At 36.1% G+C, this 24,282-nt stretch overlaps 1 protein-coding gene and 1 long non-coding RNA gene across 10 annotated transcripts in view; one reads left to right on the top strand and one right to left on the bottom strand.

Moving 5' to 3' along the window:
- The window catches only part of CDH12 (cadherin 12), a 1,102,672-nt gene that overhangs the window by 635,399 nt on the left and 442,991 nt on the right, over positions 1-24,282 (top strand). For 5 of the 9 annotated variants that reach the window (NM_001364104.2, NM_004061.5, NM_001364106.2 and 2 more), the window contains one exon: positions 5,303-5,448. The gene's annotated coding sequence lies outside the window, so the exon portion shown is untranslated. 9 annotated transcript variants of the gene reach the window in all.
- LOC105374682 (uncharacterized) lies at positions 3,341-5,514 on the bottom strand. Its single transcript, XR_925845.4, has 2 exons — positions 5,421-5,514; positions 3,341-5,032 (listed from the first exon to the last, which is right to left on the bottom strand). It is a non-coding gene; the product is annotated as an uncharacterized LOC105374682 (long non-coding RNA).

The raw sequence follows: 24,282 nt of genomic DNA, 5'->3' as shown, positions 1-24,282 counted from the left end.
TTTAGTGAACAGGAAATTCATTTGATACTAGTTGTCCCATTAGTGCTTGCAGATCTTTCCACATTCCACTCTACCCTACCACTGCTTTTCTGACTCTCCAAAAGGGTAAACCTATCTACTCAGTAAGGAAATAAACATTTTTTTTCTATTGAGCAATATTATTCATTAATATTATTTTATATGTCCATTTGTTTAATGGCATTTTAAAATCATTGCTAAAAATGTGTTTTGTTTGGGTTTTATATGTATAACTCTAGTCATTACTAATTTTTAGTATCTTTTAGTGAATTCAATAGAAAGTGAGTTTAATATTCTTAAAGTTTTACATATTATTTATCTAATTTTACTTGAACTTCATAGTCATACCTCAAAGATACAAAATAGAATAAATCAGAGCTAACAAGAAAGGTCTAAAATGCAAAGCAATTATGTCTACAAAAGCCATTTCTTTTCTTTTAATTATGCACTCTGCTTTTTTGTTATTTTAAAATAATTGTCTACTAAATTGGAAATGTGCTTTTAAAAACACAAAATATGTTAATATTATGTGTCCATTCTTTAAGTATGCTCTCCAATTTTAAGATAATTCTCAATCATTTTAATTAAGTTACCTTTACATTAATTTTACTGATCAGGACAATAGAGAGGATGGCTAACATCCATTCTAGTTGCAATAAAATAACCATGACCTTTTAAAGAAACGTGTTATAATTATTTTAAAACATTTAAAGAATATTCCTGACCTTAGCAATTTTTTAATCTACTCCATTTACAATTTCACATCAATAATTTCTGGCTGATTTTTTAATTACTCGAACTATGAAATCAACACATCCTTGCTATAATGTTATTTATAGTATAAAATAAGTTGTTTGGGGCATGGAAGGGTGTGAGAAGGGAGAAAACATGTATTTGCAGACAATAATTCCTTCTTAATTGCTTGATTATTTCTGAATTAGGTAGAAAGAACATCACAAATTATTAGGCAAATAGATGCATTTTCATAACTGACTGAAATCCTAGAGATAATATAGTTTAATTTCCTCAAATTTTCCAATGAAATTATTAAATAGAAGCTTTTTAAATGGCTTCGGTTAGAAAACTACTCACTGCTAGAATTTTGACTATAGTCTAAGTTTTCTGATATCCAGTTTAGCTTTCTTTTTTTTCTAAAATTTCATCTTATCTTAAACTCATGAGTATATGTGCGTGAAACCGGAATCAAAAATAAAAATTTCTCTTGAAGGCTGGTGAGTTTAGTCATTCAGCCTCCATGATTTAGACATAAGCAGAAATATGTATAATACATGAGAATCTGTTAGCATTCAGCAAACCTCTGTGTGATAGTATTAGCTTGATGCTGCTGCTGCAAGATCAATTTGTTATTAGTTAGGTGGCTTGTTTATGTATATGTATTTATAGATCCATTTAAAATAATTAACAGTAATTTTTCAAGGTCTGTTCTGATAAACCATCACAAACAGTGGTAGGGAGGTAATAGCTGAATCTACATTGGTATACAGAAGCAAGATTCTATTTGTGTAAGAATCATAAGACTAATATTTGGGAAATATCTTCATATATCCCCAATTTAAATAATAATAGCCAAGATCAGGAAAAGTCTGTAGGAAATCTAAGGGTTGCTATTCCAGTATACATAAATCACAAGTTCCCTGTCAGCTCAGAGTAATTTTTTCTTCAATAAATCACAATCACAATTTACACTGTTTGGAACAAACCTAAGTAAATGAAGAAAGACTGACTTCTGTTTATATAGCCACTTAAGATCCTTTTTGACAACAAGATGACTCAGATAAACATATTTGTTCGACATAGTGGGGAGCAATAGGACTTACGTAAAAAGGAAGACATTAGGTTTTCCACTATCAAACACCAAAGGACAATCACTTGCTCTTTTTATTCCTCATCACTAACATATGAGAAAAATACTTATGGTAACCTATTTCACAAGATTCCCATAAGAATCAAATGAGAGAATAAGTTCTTGGCAAAGTTTAAATGTTGCATTAGTTTGCGTTATCATCATTTATTTCATTAAACTTCTTGAAAGAGTGTGGTCACAATGCTTCTCTGTAAAGTTATGGATGTGTCTGAGAATTTCAAAGAGCCATATGAAATGATAGGATTCATGTGACTTTTAAGAAACCTGTAGATAAAGCATGAACAAATCAGAGATAAACTTTAGCTCCCTAGTACATTTGAGCTTTGCTATTACATTATGCCACTTGGAGAACTAGGTTAGTAAAAATCATCATAATTTTGGTCTAATATATTTTTATGGCTGTTCTTGAGATATTCGTTTACTTAGAGTGGAGCTATTTTCTTGTTTTAAAAAAGCAATAATTATTATATTTGAGTGGGAGAGCAAATGAATTGCAGAAGGGATTTTTAAAAATTTGAAATTGAGTCATTTGTGCTAATGGAATTATATATTTGGAAGCTCTGGATGGAATCTATTTTTTAGCCTAAAGTTTTTTTTGTGAATTTTTTTTCTGCTAAATCATACATAACTTTTAATAGCAGAACTGTTACAATAGTTTATCAGTTATAAAATGGTTTTTAAAGATGTGAAAATGATTTTTGTTAATCATAAAATCTAGAAAATGTTCCCATTCTGTTGGAAGTAAGGGTTTTGATCAGTTTTAACATTTGGGAATTTCCAAATATTTGCTAATTTTATAGTTACAGTAACCTGACTTTTAGTGGTGGGTTTCTTCTGTACTGACTACGCAACATTGGTAAATTTGCTTAACTTCTCAGAGCCCTAACTTAATTAATTAAAAAATAAAATATTATAATGTCTGCTTAATAGAATTGGACTAAGGGGTTCATGGATAGCTATAGCTGAAGTGCATGCCAGTCACTTACTACATAGCAAGCATGTAATAGACAGTACCTGTTATTTTCATGTGACTACGGTCTCCCCTCACACCTCCAACAAAATGGTCTTATTTTGCTTTGTTCTTCATGTGTGTACTTTCACATAAAATCAATTAGTGTTCCAACATAGGTTAAAAAAACTACTGAAGAGTCATCATACTCTCTATAGAAACCATTCAGGGTTTTGAAAGACCTCTGGATTTTATGAGAACAGAAAGGCTGGTTATTTGGAAATGTCATCAGGGCAGTCTCATGGAGTTGGAGTTTCCAGATAGAACCCATCTACTATGGCACAAAGTTTCGTGTGCACCTGTTTTAGTTGGTGATGATGATTGTGGGTTGGCTGGCAGGGTTCAGGAAAATAAGCCCTGTCTTAACGTTTTAATAAGTTTTAAAAATAGTTCACGATTTAAGATCCTCAGAATGGGACTTAGACCAATACGAGAAACGGAGTGCTTTAATTGCATGACCAACTACACATTAGAGCCCTGGAATCTATCCCACTGTTATTTACAAGTATTGTGTTAAAGACTAGTTGGAACCCTCTCAGGAGAAATTAGCAGTTACATTTTCTTATTTTTACAATTTATGCTCAAGGTGCATTTACTTCGATGTAAGCAGCCTCTTTTCTACTATAACACTCTCATGCCAATCTAAAATTGGATAATGGGTTTCCTGCTTTACAGCAGCAAAAATTGTTCTCCCTCTCCTGAAGTGGTTGACTGGGTTTCTTCACATTCGGCTGTCACCCTCCACCAGCTGAGGGAGCAAGAGACCTCTGCATGGGAGGCTACAGCCCCATCTCCTGGGGCTTCTGCAGGGCCGTCTCCGTTTTCAGAGTAGGATGAGTACCTGCCTTAGTAACAGCAATTCAGTTACCCTGAAGTTTTACTTTGTCCAAAAAGTTTCACCAAGAGCTTGTATTTTAATGAGATACTTTAAAAATATATTTGGGAATGTATAAGGCAAACGGATTCTCTATTATTTATACTTAGTGCATTCGCCTACTGAAATTTGAGGGTTTTCTAAGATATATATAAATATCACAATGTAAATATAGCTTCTCGCTCTTCCTCTCTCTCTTTCTCACACACACACGCAAGCACACGCACCCACACACACACGCACACACACATCAAAGAAATGCCATATGTCCCAAGTGAGACCCACTGGAAAAAAACAAAAGTGCTGAACATATCACTCAGGATCATTGTGAGAGGACAGTCGTCAGCTTTCTCTCTGGCAATGAGAATTTTCTCACCCTCAAGACATGCAAATTACTTTTTTCATCTGTTCTTTTTATGTTATTTGCATAATTTTATCCTGCAAAAGTGAGAGCTGTCAAAAATTAACCATTTGGGGCTTTGGCATTCAGTTATGTGACCTTTTCCAGAGAGTTAGATCTCTTCAGGGAACTAGGAACTTGATGAGGAAGTGCTGAGAAGGTGGTCAGTGGCAGAAAGAGCGGATGACGGATGGGGACCAGCAGGTTGGTAACGGCACATAGCTACGTTTAAAAAGTTGTTAGATATTTTCGATCCTCTCATATGCTTGCTTGTTTTTGTTTTAGGAAATCAGTATTTCAACAGATAATCAAAGAGATGATTCGGTTAGGTGTAGTGCTGTATTCTCCTACATTACTCTGGTTAAGGGTACAATGCAAACATTTTTTGCAAGTGTAATGCTAATTGAAAATGCCGTTTGGAAAACTACACAAGCAAGGCTGTGTTCATGCCGTGGTTTGAGTGCTTGTGTCTGTAGCAATCTGCCAAATATGCTTATTTAGTATGAATACTTCCTTTTTATAAATTCAGAGAGTTGCACTCTGGAGGGCTGTAATAAACCTTTAAATTCATTTTAGTTCGACAAAGGTTGAAGTATGTAGCAGGCGAGCGGCAGAGACAAGTGCAGCTATCTCTTTGATCACATCGCTTTAAACATTTTTCAGCTTTAAGCTTGTCTTACAAATCAGCTCTATCAGTCTATTAATTGCTTCACTGTACCTAATATCTTACACGAAGGCACCTTGAAAAACAGCAGGAGAAAGCACATTTGTTTAAGTCCTGCGATGGCTAGCACGGCAGCTAATCTCCTTGCAAATCATAATCATAGTTGTAGTTCATCCATTAGGCTGGAAAAGACAAGATTCCCAAGTGGCCTTGGTGCCTTTTCCAGTTCCCGGGAGACCCACCAACCCTCGGCGTGTGTTGCCTGCGCACCCGGAGCGTTCTTGCTAATCAGGTCAATGATTAACGCCTGGCTCCAGGGACCTGCCAAGAGTGTTAGGGAGCCTCCAAACGGAGCACGCTCACGGAGAATCTCCCGTTCAGAAACATCGCTTAGTCCTCATTTACTCACTGGGAACCTCGGAGGATTTCAGCTGATGTTTTTCTCTCCTTAGACAGTGAGGAGCTCAACATAACAGGGAAAAGGAGCACAGGATGCAGCTACTTGGAGGGTGTTGATTGAAAACTTCGATCTCCCCACCCCATTCACGGTTGATTTGACGGATTTCTCACCTCGTTCACAGAGAAAATTTCAATTAAGGTAAGTGCTGCTTTATCCGGGTGACTGCATGGCACTGAATTTCTGCATTGAAAGTTCTAACTGACTAAACTGACATTCTGCACTGCAGCAAGTGACTGTGTCAGGAAAAGCTTAATTTATAAGCAAGTTTCCTGGAGTGAAAACGGCGTTGGAGATAATGATATCTCAGGGCAATTTCTTCTGAAATACATTCATTCTGCCTTGTATCCAGAGAAAATAAAAGGGAACATGAAAAGATAGTTAATTTCTCATTTTACCTTTTTAATAATCTATTTGGAGGGTTGTGCATTGCCAAGGTAAATTGGTTTTGATTGAAGTGATTTGTTGATGTCATATAGTAAAATCTGAGTCTGAAAACTTCAAAGTTAAATCAGATGGAAAGAAAATTTGCAAATGCGAGTTGAGATTTTGTGCAGCTTTCTACATTAGCAATATTCCTGAGCTCCCTTTTGGTTTAAGGATTTAGGACTAAATCCCTGAATATTTTAATAGTATCCATTTGGAACTTAAAACTTAAATGTTATAGTTTCTGATGCAAGTATTAAGAAAAATGAAACTAGAAGACTTATTGTACCATTCATATAATTTATAGTACTTATTCAACAGAAGTGGATTTCTTTTATGACATGAATAAAAAAAGAAAGCAAAGGAAAATTAAGTGCTTTCTAAAATGCTTGTTTTTGAAAGAATTCTTCAATAAGAGATTACGTGTTTGTAAAAAAATCTTTTTTATGTTTTATTTCATTTTTATTATTAAGATATAATGAATTGAAGTGAAGCTTACATTTCCTATATCATTTAGGGCAATTATCCAGGTAATTCAGATTAAACCATTCCATATTAATTCTTTTTTACCCATTTTCTTGTAAGCTTGTTAAAAATATCTAGAAAGGTATTGTAAGCAACTTTTTTCCAAAGTTTAATTACCTGAACTTTTTCTTTTCTACCTTACTAAGCGCATGTAAATATAGCCTGATTGTTTTACTCCATATTATGATAAATTTTTATGTAATTAAGAGTAATTAAATAATTATATCACTATAATTATGTGATCTATCAGTCTGCAGGCTAAATACTGAAGAATAGCAATCACTTACCTTGATATTGTATGACATAAAAGTTTTCAAATAATGAAATAAACATTATTTAAAATATCACGTATAATACTGAAACAGGTTGATTTTTAACAATTAATTTCTATTGTTAAAGCAAAATGTAAATATCTAGCTGCTTTTGTATAAAGATTTATAATGGTATCTCAAGTGTGCTTTTCAGAGTGAGCACTCGTATTTCCTGAAGTGCTGACTTCCCTTTTCTTCTATGGATCTCTTGAGATGGGACATTTTATAAAGATGTCAGAACACTTTCTAATAATTGGCTATCATTCTGAAATTCTCTGGAGAGCTTTTCAGGCTGATGTCGATGTTAGTGCTTCTTCCAGAGGAGTAAACTATTTTCAAGGTTCCCAAAGGCTGATGTGTACTTGGCTACCAGTATGTTTGTAGCTAAAACCTGAAGACTTTTATCTACTTCTCTTGTTCTGAGACTTCTATCTCTTTTCCCTGGGGAGATGATTTCTCAATAGAATTAAAGATAATTGAGAGAAGAATGTGTTGACTACAGTGGCTGTCCCTGGGTCTTTGGCTTCTTATTTTTTTTTTTTTAAGCAACTTGATAAACAGAAAGAGGCAACATTAACCAAACAGGGACACACACTTGCTACTAGCGAACTTGCATGTCGCTGAAAACATCTCTATCCTTGTGCCAACTTCAGAATTGATGGTGGCATCAGACCCAATGAACTTTTTTGTTGGATGTATTGACCACTGAAGTGTCTGACCAGAGTACGTCCATTGAAGGTTGCGTTTACTCTCTAATGAAATATCTATGTTTAAAAATTGAGGGAATTGTAGTTCTCATTCAAAAAACAACAAATCCCCAATACACATGTTTACTTATATAACAAACAACCATACGTACCCCTGAACTTAAAATACAAATTTAATTTAAAAAATTAAAAATGCAATTGCTTAAAGGAGTTTTACCATTGTCATAGTTGTCTGAATTTGCAATATACTGATAAGAGGATAAAGAAAATCTTGGGTTCAACTGAAAATTAGTAACAGTTTATTTTACTTAGCATCTGCCTCCTTAATCTATATTGAATTCCATTTTTCATTTGATTGAGGGTAGTTTATTTCTTCTGTAAGATGGGAAAACATCTCATAGGATAACCTCACTTAGAGTAGGAAGTCTCAAAATTTAAATAAAATAATCTTTTAAAACTTTGCAAAACTTGCTTCAAGTTCTTCTATAACTTGCTCCTCAATAAGTAATATGTTCAATAAAAGACACTAGAGATAGGCAGTATCTAATCTAGCTCACATGCTTCCTCAACTCAGATAGCTGAGTTATAAACTTTTTATATATGAATAAATGATAAATATAAAAACATATGAAAGTTGAAATGTTAACATGGATGTTATTTGCCCTCATTTTCCAGAAGGAAAGCTGGAATCTGAGAGAGCATATGTAACTGGGCCAAGGGCACACAGTAATGAACCTATAACTCAAATTCAGATCTGGCTGTGTTTAAAACTCATACACTCTATACTATACCTTTTTGTTACCTCATATATGGTGACTGTTTCCAGCCCTTGACATGATACTCATGAATATTGTAAGACTATTTTTAAGATAGTACAGAGTAATCATATTACCTTCAGAACAGGTGAACTCTTGTTTACACAAAATAAGTGATTTTGTAAATTCCATCACCACCAGTATTGGAAACCAGCATGTACTTTGTTCTTTTAGTTTCTGAAAGAGGTTAGTGTGCAAGTCTTTGCTTCCAGCTAATTCTGATTACTACTGACAGAAAAAACACTCTACTGTAAGCAAAGTCTCTACTGAAATTTAGTATTTGTAACATATACATCTTTCCAAGAGAGGTTGACACACTCTCAGGATAAAATAAAATAAAATGTAGAGGTATAAATTCAGTGTTAATTGTATTGAAATGCGATTAAAAGGAAGTTAAGGGGAACTCACGTTAATAGTGAAAGATATTCACAATATTAGAAAAGGTAGAGAAACTAACTGTTGGAATTGAATGTTGGAAGTAGACTTCAGAAAAAACAGACTTACATATTCAGCAGCCTATTTGCTATGCTGACTTTACATAAACTTTCCCATATGTCCACAGAGGTTTAGTGTAGCTAATCATGTTGATATTGTGGTAATATTTTTCAATTAATATTTGATCTAATCCTGTGACAAGAAGGGAGGGATGTTATAAGATTAGAGGTGACCTGGAAAATTTAATATGATTAGCTGTCATATCCAAGGATGTGCTAAGATGGTAACTAGAAGTTAGGTTGTATGGTTATAAAATATGATAATTTATTGTGTTCCAACATGTTCCCAAATCTGGAAAGAGATGACATTGTACCAGATACTGTAAATAACAGGTTCCACAATGACTACAAATATGATCAAGGCATATATGTGTATAATCTCCAACAACCAACCAGCGTACTTTCAATTCTCTAGGTTGTTGGAAAACGGTTGGCTTATCCTAATTGTGTATAAGAATAACAGAAAACACAAAGTATATGTACACATTACCTCCTGTATTACTATTCCAAAAGAATGAATATGATCTATAAAGGACAATATTGTAGAAGAGCTTGTAATGGTAACAGTTCACAATGCATAGGTGTTTCCACCAAGAAAATATAACCATGTGTCTAGGCTCTACTGGCCGCAGTAGATTTGATGAGAAATGAATGTGCCAAGGTCTAAGACAGCCCTCTCTAGACTGGCCAATGACCACCATGTGGCCTTCCAGGAGAACCATGCCAATAAAAATGTTCTGTGTGAAATAACAAATATTTGACTTGGTTATCTTAAATTTGAAATGCCATGTGGAGCCTCAGCAGTTAGTGGCCAGGAAAAGAAGTTGAGAAACGTAAAAAGGACAGTCTGTGGAAATCATGAATAAGCTGCAGTAATGAGGCCAGTAGAAAAGAAAGAAAAGAGGTTAATTGCCTTAGGTCAGTAAGAACAGATACATTTTCTAAATTACCCTAATAGCTAAGCACAAGAAGAAAAGAGTGCTTCTCAGAGGAAGTACTGTGTTATCCTGGGTTGATATCCCGTATCGTATTCCAGGCATACCATGCAGTGGTGAGACTTCCCCATTTTTCACATTCACATTTTTCTCTGTAGTTTTAGTCCTGTTAATCCATTCAAATTGAGCACATCTATTTCCCTTACAAATGAAAATATTACAACTAACTCAGTATCTTACATGTTCATAGTTCTGGTAGACAATGGATAGGGCAGTAATGTTTAGTGGCTGTACGTGTTCTAGGTTCAACCACCTGGTTCAAATCCAGCTGAGGGCATTTTCTAGCTCTGTGGCCTTGGACAAGTCAGTTAAGGTGTCTAAACTTTGTTTATATGTTATTGAAAATTGAGCCAATCACAGTACCTATCCTATTGTAGTGTTCTGAGAAATAAAGGAGGGAATTGATATATCCACAATTGCTCAGGTCCTCAGAAAATGATAGTTGTTATTATAAATAGGGAACCTTATTATTAGCTGTCACCTTACCTGTAAAGTAGCAAAAATTAGAGATCTTTTTTCTCCTTAGCAACAATGAACACGTGGATCTTGCAAAACTTCCAGGAACAATTTCATAACACTGTGTTTATATAAGTACATTTTGAATTTTGGGGCATACTATTTTTGGGGGTCCTGTTGGATTTACACAGATGAAGTGGATGTTTCTTAAAAGAATGTAACTTAGGAGCCATTTTAGAGAAACCATTCTATTTGTCATGAGGACTAAATTAGCAACTGAATTCTTTACTTTGACTCTTTCTTACGTACATTGAAAGGAATTGAACAAGTCTTGAAAAAGAAGTTCCATTTGACCACTGGTAGTCAACAATCTAACTTGGTATTACAGGGGCCAGAAAAATAGCCCGTGATTTGTTTTTGTAAATAGAGTTTGGTTGGAATACAGCCACAGCTATACATTTCCATCTTGTCAATGGCTGATTGCAAGCCACAAAGCCAGAGTTGAATAGTAGAACAGAAAAAGATTGTAGAGCCTGCAAAGCTAAAAATATTGGCTATTTTGTCTTTCACAGAAAAAGTTTGCTGACTGCTTATTTAGAAGAGAAACATTCATCTTGCATGATTTTTTTATTATCAGCATAATGAATATTTGGTAGAATTTTTTTTTCTTTTTTTTTTCTTTTTTTTTTTTTTGAGACAGTCTTGCTCTGTCGCCCAGGCTGGAGTGCAGTGGCGCAATCTCAGCTCACTGCAAGCTCTGCCTCCCAGGTTCACGCCATTCTCCTGCCTTAGCCTCCCGAGTAGCTGGGACTACAGGCGCCTGCCACCATGACCGGCTAATTTTTTTTTTTTGTATTTTTAGTAGAGACAGGGTTTCACCATGTTAGCCAGGATGGTCTGGATCTCCTGACCTCGTGATCCATCCACCTCCGCCTCCCAAAGTGCTGGGATTACAGGTGTGAGCCAATACGCCGGACCGTGGTAGAATATTTTTAAATCTCTTGAAGATAACTATCTAAATGTCTGTCTCTGGAGAGACTCAGTATTTTTATTTCCTCACACTCACTAATTCATCCATATTTTTCTATGGTATTTAAAACCTCTAATTATAAATTTTGACAAAGTTATCAACTACCAGTGTATATATGCAAAAGTATTCCATTGCATACTTTGCATATTGATTCAAATAATAAACATAGAGAAACTCTTTTTTTTTTTTTTTTTTTTTTTGCAGTGGAATCCATTATTTTTCATCCTCCAAGCCACACCTTATATTTTGGTACATATAGGAATCAACTGCTATGTGACTTAAATAAAGAAGTAGATTCCTGGGTCTCATTCCTGGAGTGCTGATTTCACAAGTCAAACCTTAGTGGGTTTAGTAGGTCAAAACTTTGGTAGATTTCTTTCAGCTGTAGAAAAGAAACCAGGAACCACAGTTTGAGACATATACAGTTGATTCTGACAAAAACGAATATATAAGAATGTGGCCTAATTATTGGGATTTAAAAAAAAATTTCCCAGGTAACTCTATTATGTAGCCCCAGTTGGACACTGCTGCTGTAGACCAGCAACTCTCAAACCTTAAGAACAGGCACGCAAGTTATCTGGGGATCTTTTTTAGAGGTTTTAGAGTGTGGCTCAAGATTCTGCATTTCTGACAACCTGCCAGAGAGGTTGATGCTACTGGTGATGAGAAATGCTGCTCTCATATCACCACTGCCCCCTACTCTGCCCCATGGCTGCCATGGGTGGACTAGTGTCTACTGGAGGACGTTTCACAGGATGAGACTCACTGCCTAGCTCACCTGAATCAGATGTTGATCAACCTTCTTGAGAAGCTTTTCCCATCTCAGGAAGGTGATGAAAAATTCTGAACCAGGTCAAAATTGAGAAATATGTATATTATATTTAATATATAATATAAAATTTTGTGTGTATATTTAATCTATTGTTGATTTCTACATAACCATTTTGGACATAGAATAGTTGGATGTCTTAGAAAGCAAAATATTTAGGTAAGTATCGCTGACATATTTAATTCCTTGCAATTAAGAGGGACAGGGTGTTCATTGCTTCTCCAGTCTCCCTTCCCAATATCTAGAAGTTTTTGTATATAGCATTGCCCAAGATAACTCCATACTGAAGTTCAAAACTTATCAGAAAATGCTGACTTCTCTGGTAACATCTCAGTTCTCTTTATTCTAGCAATGTAGCCTTAAGACTTTCTTATTTGTCAGTTCAACTTTCTTCTCTCCCAAAACTGAATTGCAAGGATATTGATTTCATCTCTCTTCTTTATTTAAACTTTTCTCCCTTTCTAATCTCAACTGCCATATTTCTTTCTTATTGCTAAAATCTATAAACAATAGAGGGAAATATATTTCATTAATATAGATATAAATTTTGGATAATTTATATTACCATCATTGTGATAATATAAATTAAAAATTACAAACCTGCCCCTATAATTTCCTATTACTCTTCTCTATTATTTTCTTCTGTAATGTTTAAAATCTTATCAACCATATTCTTTTAAATTTATTTGATTATTGTTTTTCTCCCCTCTCCCCATTATTAGAATGTGAGCTCTATGAAGGCAGGCTTTTTGTTTCTTTTATTCAAAGCTGCAACTCAGTACCTAAGATAGTGTCTGTTACAGAGTTTATCCTCAGAAAATATTGTTGACCAAGATTGAGTGAATATTCCAAATTAATTTCTGTGGCTGTTGTATCAGAATTGAGGCAATTGCTTTTGCTTTTGTTGTTAACGTTTTAACACATTATAAAATCTTAATGTGTAAGATTCAACCATATTTGTTCATTGACATTTGTCCATTGAATTTACTCAGTAACTATTGTGTACCTCTTAAGTGTTAGGTGCTGTGCTAGATGCTAGGGATACATGTTGACAAGGCCTAGTTCCTATGCATAATATGCTCAGCCTGATGGTGGGAGAGGGGAACTAAAGAACGAGTAGTCACAATGCTTGTGGTCTGCCATCATGGAACATATGTACAGACTGCTGTCAATGCACAAAAAATAGCTCCTGACTTAAACAGAGAGGCCAAGAGGAATTCCCTTATCTGTAAATTAAAGAATAGCTTGAATTTAGACAGACAGGAAAAGAGAGACCATTAGCTCCTAATGGAAATCACCCTATGTGCTAAAGCACAGAGATATGTTGGGTGCATTCCTGACACCCTCCAGCACCACATTAGTTTGATAGAACATGACAATGGAGTGGTGAATGTGTAAAAAAGAGCAGCTTCATTGATGCCTGTGTAAGAGGTGCGAACTTTAACCCAGGAATAATGAGAACTCATTAAAGAATTTTCAGAAGGGCAAGCTAGATTTATTGCTGCTCTAGTCTGAATTTTACATTGTATTTTTTACTACTTCAAATAGAAATACATGTTATCAGCTACTTAAAAAAATACATGTGAATTGGGCTGGGCGCGGTGGCTCACGCCTGTAATCCCAGCACTTCGGGAGGCCGAGGCGGGCGGATCATGAGGTCAGGAGATCAAGACCATCCTGGCTAACACGGTGAAACCCCCGTCTCTACTAAAAATACAAAAAACTAACCGGGCGTGGTGACGGGTGCCTGTAGTCCCAGCTACTCGGGAGGCTGAGGCAGGAGAATGGCGTGAACCCCGAGGCGGAGCTGAGATCGCACCACTGCACGCCAGCCTGGGCGACAGAGGGAGACTCCGTCTCAAAAAAACAAAAAACAAAAAAAAAAAAACAAACAAAACAAAACAAAAACACGTGAATTCTATGTTTCTATTTGATTGAGTTGTTTGAGTTCCTTATAGATTCTGGATATTAACCCCTTGTCAGATGCATAGTTTATAGATATGTTCTCCCATTCTGTAAGTTGTCTCTTTGCGCTGTGGATTGTTTCCTTTGCTATGAATAATCTTTTTATTTTGATGTAATCCCATTTATCTATTTTTGCTTCTAAACCTGTGTGTTTGAGTTCTTATCCCACAATCCGAATAGAATTTCTCAAAAGGGGGACATACAATGGCCAACAGGAACATGAAAAAATGCTCAACATCACTAATCTTCAGGGTAATGTAAATTACAAACACAGTGAGATATCATCTCACCTCAGTTAGAATGGCTATTATCAAAAAAGCAAAAAGTAACAAGTGCTGGCAAGGATGTGGAGAAAAGGGAATTCATATTGCTGTTGGTGAGAATGTAAACTAGTACAGTCATTATAGGCAAGAGTAGGAAGGTTTCTCAAAATATTAAAAATAGAACTACCATATGATCCCAAAATGCCATTGCTGGGTCTGTATCCAAAGGAAATAACATCAGTATGTCAAAGAGATGTCTGCACTCCCATATTTATTGCAGCACTATGTACAACAGCCAAGATATGGCATCAACCTAAGTGTCCATCAGCAGATGAGTGGACAAGGAAAATGTGGTATATATACACAGTAGAATACTATTCAGCCATAAAATAGAATGAGATTCTGTAATTTGTAGCAACTTGGATGAGCCTGGAGGACAGTATGTTAAGTGAAATAAGCCAGACACAGAATGACAAATACCTCATGATTGCACTCAAATGCGGTATCTGAAAAAGATGATCCCATAGAAGTAGAGAGTAGATTAGAGGTTAGCAGAGGCTGTGGCGGGGGGAGGGAAAAAGATGTATAGAAAGAAATTGGTCAAAGTTACAGTTAGATAGGAGAAATAAGTTCTAGTATTCCATTGCACAGCATGGTGACTATAGTTAATATAACATATATTTCAAAATAGCTACAAGAGAAAATTTTGAATGCTCTCACCACAAACAAATGATAAATTTCTGAAATGATGGATATGCTAATTGCCCTAACTTGATTATTACACATCGTATACCTATGTTGAAACATCACACTCTTTCCCATAATTATGCACAATTATTATGTGTCAATTAAAAAATAAATTTTAAAAAATTTAAAAAGACACATGAAAAACAAAAATATGTATACTATAGGAGAAAATAAGTTTTAGTGGAGTTGAAGGGAGAGAAAGTCACTTACCTAAATGCTGTGCCAAGAATATATGAAAGTTCACGTGTAGAGCTTTGAACCAAATAAAGTTGAATGAGCATAAATTTGGCAAAGTTATAAATCCATAGGTGATTTTCAGGGGTTCTGTATTGCAGGATTAGATGAATGAATGTATTTCAGTTTCAGAGTTCAGGAAAAGTGAAGAATATGGATGGCCATATCTGCTAGTACTGACGTGGACAAGTGTTCACATCCTCCCACCTCCTGACTGCGACCTAACAAAAAAGGCCACTTTTTTGCCTCTACTCTTGCTGGATAATCAAAGTCAAACTGAGCTATTTAAATTTAACACCACTGACATTCTTAGAAGGAGAACTTCTGAGCTTTTTATTTCAGAGATAGAACACTAAGGGTTAACTCTGGCAAAAACTCTGACCCTTTTGTGCAGAGCTTGTTGTCGCTAATATTAGCTGAAACTAATTTTTCAGTTTTCTCTTACCATTCTACCTAAAATATCACCCACCCTATCTCTTTCTCCTTATTGTTCATCTCAAATTTACTGTGTCTTACCTGCTGATGGTTGCTCCAATGGGACTGTAAGCTCTGTGAAGATGAGAACCTTGCTTTGTTTACTGCTGCAGGCTCATCACCTAGATCAGTGTCTGTCACAGAGGTAGTAACTATATGTTGAAAGAAGGAAGGAAGGAAGGAAGGAAGGAAGGAAGGGAGGAAGGAAGGAAGGAAGGAAAGTAGGGAGGGAGGGAGGAAAAGAGAGGGAGGGAGGGGCAGAGGGAGGGAGATATCAGTGCATTCCCTAATCTCGCCTCAAAACCTTTTCTATGTCTTCTCTCTTTACCGTCTCAGTAAGTGGCACTCTAATCCACCCAATGTGTCAAGTTAGGAATCCAGCAAACATCTTTGCCTTCCCACTTCTGACTTCCCACAGATCCAATTAACATGTGGTCCTTTCAATCCTGCCTTCTAACTTTCTCTCCCCTGGCTTTCCATCATTGTTTCCCCACAGTTCTTATCACCTTCATCTGTCACTTGCCTTATGGCCGCGTTACCATATTCCTTTTCTACACAAGATAATGCCATATACTGACAGAAAATTGATATCTCTGAATACAAGCTTGCCCTATTACCCCCATGTTAAGGCTTCTCTTGTAGTTTCCCTGCTTTTTAAAGACATAATTAAAACCCCCACTGGACACCCATTTTTTTGTATATATTTAAGGGGTACAAGTACAATTTTGTTATATGCAATATATATTGCATAGGGTGAAGTCTGGCATTTTAGTGTATCCATCACTCAAATAATATACATTGTACCCATTAAGTTATTTATCCTCCCTCACACTTTTCCATCCCCCAAGCTCTGAGTCTTCAGTGTGTATCATTTCATAATCTATGTTCATTTGTACACATTATTTAGTGCCTACTTATAAGTGAGAACATGCGGTATTTGTCTGTTTCTGAGTTATTTCACGTAAGATAATGGCCTCCAGTTCTATCCATGTTGCCACAAAAGACATGATTTAATTCTTGTTTATGTGTGAATAGTATTCCGTTTTGTATATACACCACATTTCTTTATCCAGTCATTTTGTGATGGATTGATTCCGTATCTTGGATATCTTAAGATATGGAAACTTAGGTTGATTCCACATCTTTATATGGTGAATATGGCTGCATCCATTTCAATGTGAGGTTTGGATGCTGCATCATATCTGCTTTTTCCTAATCTCAAGCAGTCTATGACCCAGCCATGGTTGCTATCATTTGGTTCCTATGTCTGAGATTTCATGTTTGCTGTCTGTCACAGTAAGTTGACTTTTTGTCTGACTAGATCTATTGTCCTTCAGAACTCAAGATACATTTCATACAAGTGTTTTTTGGCCCCTACAAGTGGAGTGCAAATGTTTCTTCTATCAGTTTCCATAGCACACTCTATGTCCCTTATAATCCAATCACAGAACTCATTACATCATTGAATAATGCCACACTTCAAACTCTTTGATGGCAGGTTCTATGCCTGTGTCATTCACTACTATATTCCCAGTGACAGGCACTTATGTGCCCAAATGCTTTGTAAAAAGAATAGTTAGTGATCTTCTTCAAATTAAAAATATAGTTATTTATTCATAAGCCAATGCTTCTTCCTTCTACTTGGGCAATTAAATTCATGACATTCTGAAAAGAATTTTGCTTCCCTACGTCCCCTTGATGAAATGTCAGAGAACACAAAGTATAGTAACAATTAGATTAGTTCAAAACACTTATCATGGTAGTAACCACTGAAATCTGTTTAATGCATTTCCAACATCATATCCACCTTATGGATGATGTAGATATCTTGTACTTTAATGAACAGTGGAAATTGTTCACACACGTTTGGTAAAGGTCACCTATTTTCAATCAGCTCTTTTCTATGTAATAACTGGGTGACATTTCTCATCCATTTGTGATCAATGAACATGCATATTTTAACTCACACGTCAATTTTCTTCAAAAGCACCACTCTTATAGCTTTGTATTTCATAACTGGATGATATTTAGTATAGGGGAGCTACACTAATTCCTATTCTCCGGCTTTTTGATCTTCAGAGAAGTGTAATTGGTAGAACAAACAACTGAAATTGGCTATGTTGTACTTGATAATCAGTAGTCAAAAAGCACATCCTGAAGAGATACACTTTGATCTCTTGTGTTTGAGAAATAATTACACTGTTATATTTAATATTACAATAATTAAATGATATTTTATTATTTGTCCTTTATATGAAGTGAGGTAAAATACTCTAAAAATCAATATAGAGTAAACAACAGCAATAATTCTGGAAAGTATTTCTCTCACAGATATTTAGAAGCAATCTTCCCTGGAACCATAATCCTCAAAAGGAAATTGCAATCCTTGCAGAAACACAGTTTGGGTCATCTGGGTCCAGGTCTCTGTATTTTTCTAAAAGCCTTCACAAGGCACAAGTGACATTTTAAATAGCTTGTCAGGAAAAGAAGTGATTTCTAATGCAGATCCACCAAATAAAATGTTTTTTGTCAGTGCCCCTAAAGGCAAACATCTGAAAGGCAGAGAGAAAAAGAATGCAAAGAAAAATGTTGTGACTAGTGTCCAAGGGGGAACATAATAGAAAAATAATAGAGACATATCTCTTGTCAAACAAAAAGTAAACAGGTTTAATATCCCACAATTCTACATCTACTGAGAAGTATAATTAAACATCAGGAATGTTTTTCTCTATGGGATGCTAAGCCATTTTGTTCTTGAGAATATTTTAGGGAAAAAGAGCAGGTCCAATTATGCTCTGATCTGCAGGCATGAAAAGAGGAACTCAGCCCAGAGGTAAGCAGCGGGGAATGAAAACAGTTAACACAAAAATTTAGTTAAAGCGATGAATGCTTCACACTGATTCTTTTAACAAAGTTAAAGCTTGTTGTGTGATAGTGTTTACATTACCCTTGGTCTTAAACAACATATGAACTTAGGAAGCTACCAGCCATCTCCCACCCTCACGCCTCTCCTGGTCTTTTCTAGTCTAGTTTTTACAGACTCCTGAGTTATCTAACCCTCATGACTAAGTAGCCACACATGTATCAACATAGAGTCTCTTCGTTGTCTTTGGTTTTGTTTGTGTGTCTATTGTATTAGTGTCCTATTCAAGAAGTTTGGTGATCTTATTTTGAAAAGAACCAGTAAAGTTAAAATGTGTTGCTTCCCCAAGTGGTTTGTTCCATATTTGGAGGAATCTGAGTAAGCATTTCCTTGTTTTAAGAATTCTGTACTCGCAGGTGCAGAGCTGGGTGCTCTGGCACTTTCTCTATTATCAGAATTCAAGTTCATGTGCCTCTCCAATTTCCCCTTTTGAACACATTGTAGTTTGAGGTTATTGAAAGACCATTCACTCTCTCTATCTCTCTAGTGACCCATACTAAGTACAAAAAATAGGCCGAATTTTCCTATCTGCTTTTTTTACTAAATAAATAAATAAATAAATAAAAATAAAAAATGTCGGGTTTGTTAAACATTTCAAAATCTTGAGGATTGGTAAAGAGGGTGATTCTGCTTGTGTTATATTTATTGAAATGTTTCATAGGTTTTGCATTCCGAAAGGAAAATTCAGAATTGATAGCATTTTTGTCCACATAAAGCCATTACCAATGAAAGTGTAAGATGCATTCAAATACCTGCCTTGAGTTTTGTGCATAAATCACTTACTAGATAGAGCAGAATTGTTGAAGTCATGTAGGAATAGAAAGTAGAGTTTTCATAGGTCCTGGAGTTACTCATCTCAATCTGACAACAGCATAACTACTTATACAAATAGAGCAAATTTAACATTCCAGTTGCTAGGTATCTTTTAAACAGCAGAAATAGTTTTGTAGACATTAAGTTCCTTAGGCATTTGTTACGATTCCTACATAAAAATGAAAATATTGAAGAGTGTCAGAAATGCCTGTTTCTAACATTGTCAGATAACATAACTATCATGTATGTAACATATTTATACGATATGCTTATTTGGTGTGTAAAATAAATCTGAAGCATTTTTTTAACATTATTAGTTATTACATAAAATGCAAGTAGAATAAAAGTGTTATTGCATTATTCATTTAGCCAACACTATCAGTACGTTTTTGGGGTGACTGACAGAAGTACAAAAGAGAGACTACTGAAGTGCTAGAAATGAACACCCTGACACAGATGGTAATTACATAGAGACATTCACCCAGACGCACACTATGATATTTTAGTAATGAAAAAAGTTATTCTGCATGGTTTGCTAAGAACTTTGTTGTAATTATAAGTAAATTATCTTTTTATTCTTTTAAATATGATTAAGAATAATATTGTTGTGAATAAAATCATACTTATTTTACTGTTATTTTTATCATAATGAATGTTGTCCCACCAATTTGCAAGTGAAGAGCACCATGTAAAGCCTTTTATAACTTTCAAATTGATTTCACACTCATACATAAGAAAAGAAAAAAATAAGAAAGGTTTAAGGATTTTCTGCAAGAAGCATACAAATTTATAAATTAGAAAAATTCATACTTTTTGAGAGACTTTATAAATATTAACAGTAATGATTTTGTGTTTGAGATCATCTTGGGAGACATTGAGCCAGAAATAAAGTAATTGCCCCAAACTTTTTATGGTATAGATGTATTTTAGGAACAAGTGATAATAACATCATAGTTTCAGATTAGGAAAATGCAATAAGGAGTCCTTACCAATAACTGATCTTCACAAAAAGCAATGAAAGCTAATTTAGAATAAAACAGAAGAGCTGACTAATCAGAAAAGAAACAATGCTGCTTAAAGCTGCTTCTCTTTAAAAGCATCTCACTGATACTCTCTGGCAAAATCTACCTTGCCAATATTCTTTCCATTCTTTTTTGTTTATTTATGTATTTATTTATTTATTTTGAGACGGTGTCTCGCTCTGTTGCCCAGGCTGGAGTGCAGTGGCGGACTCTTGGCTCACTGCAAGCTCGCCTCCCGGGTTCACACCATTCTCCTGCCTCAGCCTCCCAAGTAGCTGGGACTACAGGCACCTGCCACCACGCCCAGCTAATTTTTTTTTTGTATTTTTAGTAGAGACAGGGTTTCACTGTGTTAGCCAGGATGGACTCGATCTCCTGACCTCATGATCCTCCCCCTTTGGCCTCCCAAAGTGCTGGGATTACAGGCATGAGCCGCTGCACCCGGCTATTCTTTCCATTCTTTAAGTTGAGGTATTGAAGGCCCCTGTGTTAGAAATGCAACAAACAGTTTCTTATTAATGAAAATCTTATCATAAACTATTTTTTAACTCTTATTTTAAGTTCAGGGGTAGAAGTGCAGGTTTATGTAGGTAAACTTGTATCATGAGAGTTTGCTGTACAGATTGTTTCATCACCCAGATATTAAGCCTAACACCCATCAATTATTTTTCATGATCTACTTTTTTGTCTGATTGAGGATTAAGAAATTCGACTGACCCACTCTGAATCCCTTTCCTTGGGGAAAAGAAGCAAGATCTATCGCATGAAATAATTAAAGGGAGAGAATACCCAACAAGGAGCTACAGTGATGTCCCAAAGCCACAAGAACTTTAGGCTGAGATTGAAAGGAGAACACAGGCAACAAGGAGAAGTAGGACAATAGAGCCCTCCGGGTGCCTGAGGACACCTCAGAAGTTGTTTGAGTCCTGATGCACATGTTAGAATAAATGTCTCTAGTCCCCTTGCAGATATCCTTTTTTGATGAGAGCAAATGAGGGACTTTTGAAGCTGTGTAAAGCCTTCTACCTACTTGAGGTCAACTCAGCGTAGGCAGTTTCTCACTGTATATGTGGCTTGTTTATAGGATGTCACCTGGAATGGAGTGCATGAGAAAGCAGGAGAGAAAATTCTAATGATCTCTGTAAAATGAATAAAAGATTACATACAGGCCAGGCACAGTGGCTCATGCCTGTAATCCCAGCACTTTGGGAGGCCGAGGTGGGCAGATCATGAGGTCGAGAGATCGAGACCATCCTGGCCAACATGGTGAAACCCCATCTCCACTAAATATACAAACATTAGCTGGATGGGGTAGTGCGTGCCTGTATTCCCAGCCACGCAGGAGACTGAGGCAAGAGAATCGCCTAAACCCGGGATTCGGAAGTTGCAGTGAGCCGAGATCATGCCACTGCACTCAAGCCTGGCGACAGAGCAAGACTCTGTCAAAAAAAAAAAAAAAAAATTACATGCAGATAGAATAGACAGAGATATACACACATATGCACACACACCCACATACATACACACTGTAATATACACACACTATTTCTACCAAAACTTCTGTAATATAGGATAGAGAAATGAAGACGTGTAGAACGTTCTTATTTAAATCTATGTAAACATCTAGGTTAAATTCTGTGATTAATATGTATATATGACTCTTTTAAAAAATTATTGCTACTAATAGGTTGAAACTGAGAAAATGAAAGAGAGAAAGAAAGAGAGGGAGGAGAGATGCCACCTAGGAAAAAAGAGTTTTTCACACCAGGCTTTTATTCCCTCATATTGAGCTAAATTTAGGAACAAGAAATAAAGGAGAGAAAATGGCAAAACATGCTCTCTTTTGCAGAGGATTGTAGAGAAAGAGAAATCCCCATAAGAAATAAATTTGGTGGCAATAGAGTGAGAGTTGGAGAATCCTTTGCTTCTGTGTGTTTAAAAGGTATAAATACACATTTTATATTTTCTTATTCATTGTATTGAGAATTAAATGAGGTAAAGTAGGAGAAAGCACCCATCTTAATGAATGACAAATAACAATTTTTCAAAGGAAAAATAATAATTGTTTTTCCTTTGGCTTTTCCAACCTTAACAGTGTTACCAGCACATCCAAGTTTGTAAAGTAGAATTGGAAAGGCATAATGGTTATAAGAATGGCATTTACAATTCAACACATTGACATTTCAATCTGAGTCTACCACTTACTACCTATGTAGCTTTAGACAATTTTTGTCACTCTTTAATGCTCTGATTTCCTTTCATAGCATAACACAGACAATATTAACAGGTAGTTATATAATGAGATACTATAATAAATGTGCTTAGTGAAGCACCTGGCTTACAGCAAGCACACTACTGCTGAGGAGGTTATTATTATTTCAGCAACTGGATAGCCCAAGTCCCAATATTTCACTGACATTGCCCTGTCACTGATTCTAGCTACGACCTTGGTCTCAAATCTCCCTAATAATTTCAAGTTTAAAAAGCCTCTGTCTACCTAGAGGACAGAAAACTAACTTTTATCAAGAACCTATGGCAACCCATATTTCTAGGCTTGGGATAATATCATCAGGTCCTATTTTCATCAACTGACACCTTTATGATAGCTCAGGATCACTGCCTTGATTGCTGCCCCTGAGTCATTTGATTTCTCTCCTGGCTATTTGTGAAACTCCCAAGGTGCTCGCTTATACTCTTAGAAAAAAAGTCTTGTGTTTCCCTCTCTGACCTCCTGCCATCTGCCAGGCAAGACCACAACTGCTGATGTCTCTTGGGAGATCACAGCTCCTCTGGGTGAAACTGTCCTATGCCCGTGGTCCCCATTGCTCACAAAATTGTAGCTACAGGGAAAGAATAACATATTGCCTTTTATTACTTTTTTACTTACAACTTGAACCTGTCCTTTTCATTAAGACCACACTGCACTGACAGACCAAGTGGCAAGTTTTTTTCATAAAGTAAAGAAATAATAGTGGGGAGGCCAGTCACGGTGCCTCACACCTGTAATCCCAGCATTTTAGGAGGCTGAGCTGGGCGGATCTCTTGAGATCAAGAGTTCGAGACCAGCCTTGCCAACATGGTGAAACCCTGTCTCTACTAAAAATACAAAAATTAGGCGGGCATGGGGGCGGACGCTTGTAATCCCAGCTACTCAGGAGGCTGAGGCAGGAGAATCGCTTGAACCCAGGAGGCAGAGCTTGCAGTGACCTGAAATTGTGCCACTGAACTCTAGCCTGGGAGACAGAGTGAGACTCGGTCTCAAAAACAAAAAACAAAAAAAACAAAACAAAAAAAAAAAAAAGAAAGAAAAAGAAAAGTAAAGAAAGAATAGTGGGGGAGGTAGGTTACATAAGACACCATTAAGTAAGCAGTGTGTCACCTCTCTAGCTCACAAGCCTGGTACCTGAATGTTCCATCTCTGTTAACCCCTATTTACCATTGGCTAGGGGCCAGCTTTCTTTTCCTACCAGGACTGCACTGAAATAGATCTTCTAGCACAGAGGACAGGACTCATCTCCAATGAGGTGTCAGAGACAAAGCCCTAGACTCCATCCTGGGTTTTGAACATAGAAGCCTCATTTTCATTTCCAAATTCTAACATTTGTAAGTATTGGCTATGATAATGTCCACTTATTTCAATAAAACATTCCTTTCTCCCTTGCAGTCCCTAAGTTATTCTTAATAGGAAAATTAAAGGAAGATAATCCTACATAAATTCAATTGTATTAGTAAGTCTTAAATAATACCTTGCGTAGGCTATCACTGAGCTAGTATGTTGTACTGAGCCAAACCAAGTTCTTACTATATTCTCTACTGCAGTGAAAGAGTACAGTGGAGTCTGATGACTCAGCAACCCTCGTGGGTTTTTCTTCTATAAAACAACTACATCAACAATTGTGCAAACATGGATCTCCCCAAGAATTTGCCTGATACATCCGGCTGCTTA

The sequence above is a fragment of the Homo sapiens genome, chromosome 5 (assembly GCF_000001405.40).
Source record: "Homo sapiens chromosome 5, GRCh38.p14 Primary Assembly".
NCBI classification, from domain to species: Eukaryota; Metazoa; Chordata; class Mammalia; order Primates; family Hominidae; genus Homo; species Homo sapiens.
Note: the sequence above shows the minus strand (reverse complement) of the source record. Positions and strands in the feature narration are given on the sequence as shown.